This window comes from Homo sapiens, chromosome 22 (assembly GCF_000001405.40).
Source record: "Homo sapiens chromosome 22, GRCh38.p14 Primary Assembly".
Classification (NCBI taxonomy): Eukaryota; Metazoa; Chordata; class Mammalia; order Primates; family Hominidae; genus Homo; species Homo sapiens.
This window is the reverse complement of record NC_000022.11, coordinates 30775288-30787546: the sequence shown is the minus strand read 5'-3', so window position 1 is coordinate 30787546 and position 12259 is coordinate 30775288. Positions and strand designations below refer to the sequence as shown.

At 46.5% G+C, this 12259-nt stretch overlaps 1 protein-coding gene across 4 annotated transcripts in view, besides 1 other annotated feature; it reads right to left on the bottom strand.

The window, feature by feature from the left end:
- The window catches only part of OSBP2 (oxysterol binding protein 2), a 214032-nt gene that overhangs the window by 120267 nt on the left and 81506 nt on the right, over positions 1-12259 (bottom strand). The gene's annotated exons all lie outside the window — the stretch shown is intronic.
- Positions 7187-7687: an enhancer, noted in NCBI's record as "H3K4me1 hESC enhancer chr22:31175847-31176347 (GRCh37/hg19 assembly coordinates)". NCBI's record gives its function as "activates a minimal SCP1, AML or CMV promoter by ChIP-STARR-seq in naive H9 embryonic stem cells {active_cell/tissue: H9 hESC(naive)}" and the evidence as "EXISTENCE:reporter gene assay evidence [ECO:0000049][PMID:30033119]".

The following is a 12259-nucleotide window of genomic DNA, read 5'->3' as shown; positions in this document are numbered from 1 at the left end:
CATGCACCACCATGCCCGCCTAATTTTTGTATTTTTAGTTGAGATGGGGTTTCACCATGTTGGTCATGCTGGTCTGGAACTCCTGACCCCAAATGATCCACCTGCCTCGGCCTCCCAAAGTGCTGAGATTACAGTCGTGAGCCACCGCATCCGGCCCCGACCATTCTATTCTCGTGATAGTAAGTTATCACGAGATCTGACGGTTTTATAAGGGGCTTCCCCCTCCTCTTAGCTCCCATTCGTCTCCTTCCTGCCGCCATGTTAAGAAGAATGTGTTTCCTTCCCCTTCCGCCATGACTGTAAGTTTCCTGTGGCCTCCCCAGCCATACTCAACTGTGAGTCTATTAAACCCCTTTCCTTTATAAATTACTTAGTCTTGGGTATGTCTTTATTAGCAGTGTGAGAACGGACTAACACAGGTGGAGAATCTGACTGGTAAGACCTTTCCTGACCGGGCACAGTCGCTCACGCCTGTAATCCCAGCACTTTGGGAGGCCGAGACAGGCGGATCACCAGGTCAGGAGATCGAGACCATCCTGGCTAACACAGTGAAACCGTGTCTCTACTAAAAATACAAAAAATTAGCCTGGTGTGGTGGCACGTGCCTGTAGTCCCAGATACTTGGGAGGCTGAGGCAGGAGAATCGCTTGAACCTGGGAGGCAGAGGTTGCAGTGAGCCGAGATTGCACCATTGCACTCCAGCCTGGGCAACAGAGCAAGACTGTACAAAACAAAACAAAACAAAACACCTTTCCTGATGCATGTTTTGCCCTGCTAGTCTCTCCAGCCTCATCTTGAGGCATCCCCACCCCACCCCACCCCACCCCCACCCTCTGCTCCTGCCACCAATGAGGTGTCTTTAGCTCTCTGAACAGCCAGGATCTCCCCAACCTCTGGGCCTCATTTTCAATTGTACTCCTCCTATCTTCAACAAGTGAATTCCTCCTCACCCTTTAGATCTCAGCTTACATATCACCTCCTCTAGGCAACCTTCCCGACCCTCAAAACTGGGCTAGGTGCCTTTCACCATGGTGAAGCATTGGGCCATTGCATCATGATTTTGTATTGGTTTGTCTGTCTCCCCACAGCAGGCAGTGGGGTCTCTGGCAGGTGTCATTGATTTTTGTTTTCCATGACTCCTCACCTCCTAGTGCTGTCTGGCACAGAGAGATGTACAGTCAATATTTATTGTAAATATTAACTGACTTAAAATACACTAACTGAGGCTGGGTGCAGTGGTTCACACCTGAAATCCCAGCACTTTGGGAGGCTGAGGCAGGTGGATCACTGGAGGTCAGGAGTTCGAGACCAGCCTGGCCAACATAGTGAAACTCCATCTCTACTGAAAATACAAAAAATTAGCTGGGTGTGGTGGCACACGCCTGTAATCCCAGCTACTCGAGGTTGAGACAGGAGAATTGCTTGAACCTGGAAGGTGGAGGTTGCAGTGAGCCGAGATTGTGCCATTGCACTCCAGCCTGGGTAACACAGCGAGACTTCTGTACACACACACACACACACACACACAAACTGTATTAGTCCATTCTCATATTGCTATAAAGATACTACCTGAGACTGGGTAATTTATAAAGAAAAGAGGTTTAATTGACTCACAGTTCTGCATGGCTGAGGAGGCCTCAGGAAACTTATAATCATGGTGGAAAGCAAAGGAGAAAGAAGCACCTTCTTCACAAGGCAGCAGGAGAGAGAGAGCAGGAGCATAGGGAAGTGCCAGACACTTATCAAACAACCAGATCTCATGAGGACTCATTCACTATCACTGGAACAGCAGGGGGGAAATCTGCCCCCATGATCCAGTCACCTCCCACTAGCTCCCTCCCTCGATATGTGGGGATTACAATTTGAGATGAGATTTGGTGGGGATATAGAGCCAAATCATATCACTAACCTCTATAAAATTTAGCAAGAAAGCAAACTTTCTAAATCAGAAAGATTAAGCCTGTTTTTTTTTTTTTTTTTGAGACGAAGTCTCACTCTGTCACCCACACTGGAGTGCAATGGCGCGATCTTGGCTCACTGCAACCTCCACCTCCTGGATTCAAGTGATTCTCTTTCCTCAGCTTCCTGAGTAGCTGGGATTACAAGCACCAGCCACCATGTCCAGCTAATTTTTTTTTTTAGTAGAGATGGAGTTTCACCATGTTGGCCAGGCTGGTCTCAAACTGCCGACCTCAGGTGATCCACTTGCCTTGGCCTCCCAAAGTGCTGGGATTACAGGCATAAGCCACTGTGCCGGGCCGGAAAGATTAAGCATTAATGGGTGCAAGGTACTCTCTGCTCCAAAACAGGGCCCACATTACATTGGTTACAGAGGAAAGTTTAAATCTACAATTAAAATGTAATACCAAACAAAATCCCAATGAGGTATTTTTAATACAACTTAAGCTGATTCTAACATTTACATGGAAGAGAAAACTCCAGTACATTTTAAAAATTAAAGAACAGTAAAGGAGGCTGGGTGCAGTGGCTCACACCTGTAATCCCAGCACTTTGGGAGGCCAAGGTGGGCAGATAACCTGAGGTCAGGAGTTCAAGACCAGCCTGGCCTACGTGGTGAAACCTCATTTCTACTAAAAATGAAAAAAGTTAGCCAGACATGGTGGTGCATGCCTGTAATCCCACCTACTCAGGAGGCTGAGACAGGAGAATCGCTTGAACCTGAGAGGTGGAGGTTGCAGTGAGCTGAGATTGTGCCACAGCACTCCAGCCTGGGCGACAGAGCAAGACACATCTCAAAAAAAAAAAAAATGAGGAGGATTTATTCTACCAGCTGTCAAATTATATTATAAAGCTACAGTAATTAGGCACAGGAATTGATAAAATGTCAGTGAAGACGAGTATTCAAAATCAGAGTAAATGCTATTGAGAAAATCAGATACACTTTTAGAAAACATAAAAATTAGATGCCTTTCTCACAACTTGCAGAAAAACAAATTCCAGAAGGATACAATTAAAAGCATACTTGTCAACTGGGCACGGTGACTCATCCCTGTAATCTCAGCACTTTGAGAGGCCAAGGTAGTGGGATCACTTGAGCCCAGGACTTTGAGACCAGCCTGGGCAACATAGCACGACCTCGTCTTTAAAAAAATTTTTTTTTTTTAATCAGCCAGGCATGGTGGCATGTGCCTGTAGTCCCAGCTACTCAGGAGGTTGGGGTGAGAGGATCACTTGGGCCTAGGAGGTCAAGGCTACAGTGAGCTGTGATCATGCCACTGCACTCCAACTTGGGTGACAGAAACCCTGTCTCAAAATAATAAATAAATTAATAAATAAATAAATAAATCACACTTGTTGAATGGTTCCTTCTTTTCCAAGTGATTTGAATGGTACTTTTATCACTAAGTGAATTCCTACAAATACATAAATCTGTTTCTGGAGATGCCATTCTAGTGCTAAGAATGAAAATCTAGGATTTGTATCTGCAGTATTTTAAAAAACAGAGGCCTCTATGAAACTACCCACTCAGGACAGGACCATAGAAACCTACGTCAATCGTAAAGATGCCATCCCTGCTTCTGAAGCCTCTTCCTGGAAGGAAACAATCATTCTGCAGATACATGCTGAAGGCCACTTTCAAGTAACACGGTCCCAAGTGATTACAATGGGCATTTCCCAGACCCAAGCTCTCCTCTTCAGCACCAGTTGGTTTACCTAACTAGGCATTGCCCTAGGAAGCTTCCAGGGTCAAGGGGCAATGTTGCGAGCAAGAGCGCCAGGTTGAGAAGAGGCACATTTGCATCAAGGTGTCATGGTTTTTCTATTTCTAAGAAATCGCCGTAAGTTGCGTTCTTATGCCAGCATTCCCAACGGCAAAGCTTTTACATGACCAGGCAGATTTGGGAAGCAATAGTATTATCGGTATTGCAGTTATTAATTTATGTTTAGACAAAATATGCTCTCTGGCCTGGCGTAGTGGCTCACGTCAGTAATACCAGCACTTTGGGAGGCCAAGGTGGGTGGATCACTTGAGATCAGGAATTCGAGACCAGCCTGGCCAACATGGTGAAACCCCGTCTCAACTAAAAATACAAAAATTAGCCGGCCATGGTGGCACACACCTGTAGTCCCAGCTACTTGGGACTGAGGCAGGAGAATCGCTTGAACCCAGGAGGTGGAGGTTTGGAGGCTGCAGTGAGCTGCAATCACACCACTGCACTCCAGCCTGGGCAACAGAGCAAGACTCTGTCACCAAAAAAAAAAAAAAAAAAAAAAAAAAAAAAGCTCTCTGAATGAGACTCCCTGCCTCTGAGATGTGGTATTTTATGTCTTCGGGGAATGAAAACAGGCAGAACCTGAGAGGCAAGATCCTGTGTCTGCAGTGAGCTGCCTTCACTAAATTCCCCGAGATACCAATGAATAGGACCATATGCACACAGGTTCCTGGGCAATTGCCCTGTGATTCTCCCTGTATACACAATAATTTGCCTTTTCTCCAGAAAAAAAAAAAAAAAAAAAAAGCCACAGGTTCCCTACTCTTTGAAGCAGAAAGGACATAACAGACACTGTCATGTCTGAGAAAACATACAATCATTTTTGAAAGGCAAAATAAGTATTGCTCATCAGGAGAACCTGTGTTTGACACTTCCTCGGGTTGTCCTGGGATGGCTGATTCTGTCCCCCAGCCTGGGACATTGTCACACTGCTTATGGGAATGTCAAATGGTGTAATCACTTTCGAAGATGATGTGGCAATTTCTTAAAAAGTTAAACATATATGTACCCTGAGTCAGCCATTCTATTCCTAAATATTTACCCAAGATAAAAAAACGTGTATGTCCACAGAAAGATTTGTATGCAAATGTTCACAGCAGCTCTGTTATGGCCGAACCTGGAAACAACTCAAATGTCCATCCACAGGCAACAGATAAATACACTGTGGTGCGTCCACACAATGGAACACTACTCAGCAATAAAAAGCAACACACTAGTGACGCAGGCAACAACACAGATGGATTTCAAAACAGTTACACTGGGTGACAAAAGCCAACTAGAGTACTTGCAGTACAATCCCATTTGTATGAAATCCTAGAAAATGCAGCCGGGCGCAGTGGCTCACGCCTGTAATCCTGGCACTTTGGGAGGCCGAGGCAGATCACCTAAGGTCAGGAATTCGAGACCAGCCTGGCCAAGATGGTGAAGAAAAAAAAAGAAATCCTAGAAAATGCAAACGATCACACAAGAAAGTAGATTAGTGGTTGTCTGCAGGAGGTGGAAGGGGCTGAGGAGGAATTACAAAAGGGCATGAAGAGAATTTGGAATGATGAATGTGTACATTATCTTGATTGTGGTGATGGTTTCATGGGTGCATAAATGTCAAAACTTATCTGACTGTACACTATAGGCAGTTTACTGCTTGCCAGTTATGATTTTTTGATTTTGAGACAGAGTCTCACTCTGCCGCCGTGGCTGGAGTGCAGTGGCGTAATCTCGGCTCACTGCAACCTCCACCTCCTGGGTTCAAGAGATTCTCCTGCCTCAGCCTCTCAAATAGCTGGGAATACAGGTGCCCACCACCACGCCTGGCTAACTGTTGTATTTTTATAGAGATGGGGTTTCACCCTGTTGGCCAGGCTGGTCTCAAACTCCTAGCCTCAAGTGATCCATCCACCTCGGCCTCCCAAAGTGCTGGGATTATGGGCATGAGCCACTGTGCCGAGTCTATGACTTTGGTTTTTAAGACATGGATTGAAAACAAAAAGAGTGGTTGTCCATCAGGAAACTCTACATTTCCCACATCCTCCAGCTGGGACAATCACTGCAAGCCTGTTGAGACTGGAGGCCCAGAACCTTCCTGTGGTCAGACCTCCTGTCTCCTGCTAGAAACCCAGTGTTCTCTTGGCTCACTCTGCCACCAGCCCCCACCTTCCCCTACTGGGCAGATGCGGCTCCCTGGTCAGCCCATTTGAGTCCACTCAGGGCCACCATTCACATCCCCTGGATCTTTGCAGGAAGCAGAGGTATATCAGATAGGATTCCATTTGTGATCGCACATCACCCTCTCAAGCTGGTGTTCCTGCGTCTCTCCACAAACACACACACCTCAGGCTGGGGCCTGAGCCACAGGACAAATGACTCAGTGTGTGGCATGAACCAGGGCATTAACTAAAGTCAGGAATGGCTGCCTTGGGGAGCAGGATGGAAAGAGAGGAAGGTGGGGGGAGCAGGGCTGCTGCTTTTTGAGAGAAGCATGACTTCCATACTCCCTTGTATGTGTATGAGTGGATGTAAAAAACAAAAACATCGGCCGGGTGTGGTGGCTCATGTCTGTAATCCCAGCACTTTGGGAGGCCGAGGTGGGTGGATCACCTGAGGTCAGGAGTTCAGGACCAGCCTGCACAACATGGTGAAACCCCATCGCTACTAAAAAAAAAAAAAAAAAAATTAGCCAGGCATGGTGGCGGATGCCTGTAATCCCAGCTACTTGGGAGGCTGAGACAGGAGAATTGCTTGAACCCGGGAGGTGAAGGTTGCAGTGAGCCGAGATCACGCCACTGTACTCCAGCCTGAGTGACAACAGCGAAACTCCGTCTCAAAAAAAAAAATTTTAAATATTAAAATAAAAACTGTACATGAGGCACAGAACCTTCTGTGGTCAGGCCTCCCACCTCCTGGGAAAGCCCAGCTCCCTGGTCACCCCACTGGAGGTTTTTACATTTGAGTCGTTTGAAACACCAGACCTTAGATCCACAAATGCCAAAGGAGTTCAATTTAAACAGTTTAGTTGTAGGCCAGGTGGGGTGGCTCACTCCTGTAATCCCAACACTTTGGGAGGCCAAGACGAGCGGATCACCTGAGGTCAGGAGTTCGAGACCAGCCTGGCCAGCATGGCAAAACACTGTCTCTACTAAAAATATAAAAATTAGCCAGGTGTGGTGGCGGGCGCCTGTAATCCCAGCTACTCGGGAGGCTGTGGCATAAGCATTGCTTGAACCCGGGAGGTGGAGGTTGCAGTGGGCTGAGATCGATCCACTGTACTCCAGCCTCAGCAACAGAGTGAGACTCCATCTCAAGAAAAACAAAAAACAAACAAAAAACAGTTTAGTGAAGTCTTAGTAGCCTGGGTGCATTACAACAATGTGGAAAATGCCAGAGTCACAGAGCTGTGACATTTACTCCGTGTCATGCGTGTCGGGTTCTTTATACGTAGCAGGGGCTGAGGAAAACTCACGGATGAGGTCGACTCCTCAGCAGCTGTGGCATGGATGAAATTTTTCACAGGACATGCTACTGGATCTTCACCGTGCCACATTCTGAGAGGAAATGGATCACTGTGGCATATCTGCAGCAGAAGCATTAGCACTGGGGTGCAGGAAATGGTACGAGGCAACTCGTGGTTTTCAAATAATGCTGAATAACAGTGCCTTTCTGCTCGCCCGGGGCTGTGGGCCCCTCAAGGACTGAACACTCAGCCTGAATGATCCTTCAGTTCTGGCATCTTGATTTGGCTTTGAATTGACTACAAATAGATGAAAGGTTTTTGCTTCGTACAGAATGAGAATCTGTCTGGCACACATGAAATACACATCTAAAAGGAAAAACAATGTGGAAAGGAACACCAAGGGGCAACAGACAGCCTGAGGAGGGAAGACAAGCTGTGGGGAGAGAGACACAAAGGGCAGGGGCTGCCCAGGTGGGCCAGGGTGGGCAGCAAGGACCAGCCTTCACCGGGAGAAAGACCACCCAGCCACCAAAAGGGCCGAGGGTTCTCCGTGTCCCCACACCTCAAGCATGAGGCTGGACCCCTCCTTTGTCCCCTCAGCTCTATTTCTACTTCATTCTGGAAAGGAACTGAGGATACTTTGAAAAAAAGGTACTTCTTTTCTCTCTGGCGCTTTCTCAGTGAAGGGCAAATGTGGGTTCTTGTCACTTGGGGTTACTTCGTCCAGCTCCTGCAGCTGCAAGTGTATCCAGGAAGGGAAGGGAGGCCAAGTGGCTGAGGCAGGAATGTGCTAGGTGACCATACCGCCCAGGACCACCCTCTGGAGGCATTTGCAAATGTCCCCATCCAAAAAACATGAGCCCTCAGTATATGAATAATGGTTTATAGATTTTATATATATGTTGTACTAGTTGACTTACACTTTATGTATATTATACAACATATATAAAAACCAAAATTTTAAGGCCAGGCATGGTGGCTGATGCCTGTAATCCCAGCACTTTGGGAGGCAAAGGCAGGCAGATCACCTGAGGTCAGGAGTGCAAGACCTGCCTGGCCAACATGGCAAAACCCTGTCTCTACTAAAAATACCAGAAAAAAAAAAAAAAAAAAAAATTAGCTGGGTGTGGTTGTGGGCGCCTGTAATCCCAGCTACTCGGGAGGCTGAGGCAGGAGAACCACTTGAACCCGGTGGGCAGAGGTTGCAGTGAGCCGAGATCAGGCCACTTCACTCCAGCCTGGGCAAAAAAGCGAAATTCTGTATCTATCTGTATATATATACACCAAAAAACTTTAAAAGATAAAATTAAATCAGTATTTTTTTTTTTTGAGATGGAGTCTCCTTCTGTTGCCAAGGCTGGAGTGCAGTGGGGCAATCTCGGCTCACTGCAACCTCTGCCTCCCAGGTTCAAGCGATTCTCTTGCCTCAGCCTACCAAGTAGCTGGGATTACAGGTGCCTGCCAACATATCTGGCTAATTTTTGTATTTTTAGTAGAGATGGGGTTTTACCTTGTTGGCCAGGCTGCTCTTGAACTCCTGACCTCAAGTGACCAACCGGCCTCAGCCTTCCAAAGTGTTGGGATTACAGGGGTGAGCCACTGTGCCCGGCCATAAATCAGTTTGAATAGAACTTCTAATGTTTTCATCTCGTACTGCAGTGGGTATCTTTTGCCTTCCTGGGGAGGCACTCACTTCTATTTTTTAAAACAACTGGGCTAGAGGACAGGGGAAATCAAGAGCCACAATATCATTCACATCCACTACCCAATAGAATTTTCCCTAGGAAAGTGTTACCAACAAAAGGGAGCTCCAAGCATGGACATGGCAGTGGGTGTTATAACAGGCCATAACCGCAGGCTGCTCAAGTGTCCAACCACTGGACGGCAGGATAAGAAAACTGGGGCCAGGCTCTCCACAGAGCAGAAGCAAAAGCAGAAAGTGACAACAAAAACTGAAGAGCAGCCAGCATGCTGATGCTGGAATGCCCAGGGAAAGGAGAACACGGTGGTGGCCACAGCGCTGTCAGTGGGTGTGTGTGTGTGTGTGTGTGTGTGTGTGTGCACATGCACACGGGCAGTATGAGCAGGTCCCAAAGAAACAGCAATGGCTAGGATCATGGCATTGTTTTTATTTCACCATGGCCTGGCCAACATGTTGAAACCCCATCTCTACTAAAAAAAAAAAAAAAAAAAAGGGCAAAAATTAGCCGGGCATGCTGGTGCATGCCTGTGGTCCCAGCTACTTGGGAGGTTGAGGCACAAGAATCTCTTGAACCCGGGAGGCAGAGTTGCAGTGAACCGAGATTGCACCACTGCACTCTAGCCTGGGTGACAGAGTGAAACTCTGTCTCAAATAAATAAATAAATAAAATAAGCTCCTTTAATGTCACTATAACATTTTTAATAGCATAGAAAATCAAGTTGAAGTGAATAGTGGAGGATCATTTTTTTCACCAATTCCTTCTTCCTCCCTCTCCTCCAAAAGACAGAGCATCGATTTCCTCCCACTGGCTTCCTGGGCTTCCAGACTGATGAGCACGTGTGTGAACCAGCCCAGCTTCACTAATAGGGCTTTCTGTCTGCCTATTCTCCCCAGCTGCTGCCATCACTCTCCCTGACTGCTCCTGGCCCTCCCTTAGCAGGAGGGCTGCATGCGCTGTCACTGTGGGCACTATGGCATTTTTCTCCAGCATCTGGTTATCAAGCAATGGCCTTGAGCTGCTACTGCATCTGGGAGACCCTCAGTCCAGTGTGACCAGGCATTTCTTTACAGATGGAAGAGTAGTTGTATTAGTCCATTTTCACACTGCTGATAAAGACATATCCAAGACTGGGAGACTTACAAAAGAAAGAGGTTCAATGGACTTACAGCTCCACGTGGCTGGGGAGATCTCACAATCATGGTGGAAGGTAAAAGGCACGTCTCACATGGCAGCAGACAAGAGAAGATAACTTGTGCAGGGAAACACCCCTTTTTAAAAACCATCAGATCTCGTGATACTTATTCACCATCATGAGAACAGAACAGGAAAGACCCGTTCCCATGATTCAACCACTTCCCACCGGGTCCCTCCCACAACATGTGGGAATTCAAGATGAGATCTGAGTGGGGACACAGCCAAACCATATCATCCCACCCCTGGCCCCTCCCAAATCTCATGTCCTCACATTTCAAAACCAATCGAGCCTTCCCAACAGTCCCCCAAAGTCTTAATTCATTTCAGCATTAACTCAAAAGTCCACAGTCCAAAGTCTCATCTGAGACAAGGCAAGTCCCTTCTGCTTATAAGCCTGTAAAATCCAAAGCAAATTAGTTACTTCCTAGATACAATGGGGGTGCAGGCATTGGGTAAATACAGCCATTCCAAATGGGAGAAATTGGCTAAAACAAAGAGGCCACAGGCCCTATACAAGTCAAATCCAGTGGGGCAGTCAGATCTTAAAGCTCCAAAATGATCTCCTTTGACTCCAGGTCTCACATCCAGGTCACGCTGATGCAAGAGGTGGGTTCCCATGGTCTTAGGCAGTAGTGGTACTTTTACTTGAGCTAGGGGAAAGGATTAACGTGAATATTTCCAGGAAGTATCTTCCCTTAACTAAGCCATGCATTTTCTGCCAAGGGGAGTGTAAACTGGAACAACATTGATGGAGGATAACTCAGCAACAGTATCAAAATGTGAAGCATGCACTTGACCCAGCCATCCCTTTTCTAAGAATTTACCCTTAGGAAATAATCACACCAGTTCCAAAAAAAGAAAAGGAAAAAAAAAAAAGTGAGCACAGAAATGCTTGTCCCAGTGCCTTCTGTTGATAGTAGAGAAATATTGCCAACAACCAGAATGCAACTGAATGAACTGGCAAACATTTTCAAAAATGTTTCAGCGAAGTACACTGTATCTATTTAATGAAATATCATGCACCATTAACAGTGATATTTATTAGGCCAGGTGCAGTACTCACACCTATAATCCCAGCATGTTGGGAGGCAGGGGCGGGCAGATCGATTGACCTCAGGAGTTGGAGACCAGCCTGGGCAACATGGTGAAATCCCATCTCCACTAAAAATAAAAAATTAGCCAGGCATGGTGGCATGCACCTGTGGTCCCAGCTACTTTGGAGGCTGAAGTGGGAGGATTGCTTGAGCCCAGAAGGTGGAGGTTGCAGTGAGCTGAGAACACATCACTGCACTCCAGTCTGGGTGACAGAGTGAGACCCTGTCTCAAGAAAAGAAAAATAAAAAAAAAAAAAAGAAAAGAAAAAGAAAAATGAGTCTGGGCACAGTGGCTCACCCCTGTAATCCTAACACTTTGGGAGGCTGAAGTGGGAAGATCACTAGAGGCCAGGAGTTCAAGACCAGCCTGGACAACATGGCAAAACCCCATCTCTACTAAAAATACAAAAATTAGCCAGGTGTGGTGGTGCCTTCCTATAGTCCCACTACTCGGGAGGCTGAGTCAGGAGAATCACTTGAACCTGGGAGGCAGCAAGTTGCAATGAGCAGAGATGGCGCCACTGAACTCCAGCCTGAGCAACAGAGCAAGACACTGTCTCAGAAAAAAAAACAACCTCCCCCCCAAAAAAATCTTATGTACCCATAAATATACACACCTATATGTGCCCACAAAAATTAAAAATTGAAAACAACAATATTTATAATTAGGTATTTGAACAATGATATTAAAGAATTGTGATTTCAGGTAGGATCGTGGTCTTGAATTTATGAGTTATTTTGTTTGTTTGTTTTTTGAGACAGAGTCTCACTCTTTCACCCAAGCTGGAGTGAAGTGGTGCGATCTCGGCTCACTGCAACCTCTCTGCCTCCCAGGTTCAAGCGATTCTCTTGCCTCAGCCTCCCAAGTAGCTGGGATTACAGACACCCACCACCACGCCCAGCTCATTTTTTTTTTTTTTGTATTTTTAGTAGAGAAGGGCTATCACCATGTTGGCCAGGCTGGTCTCAAACTCCTGACCTCAAGTGATCCGCCTGCCTCAGCCTTCCAAAGTGCTGGGATTGCAGGCATAAGCCACTGCGCCTGGTCGATTTTGTGTTTTTAAAAGACTCCTTGTTTTTTAGAGA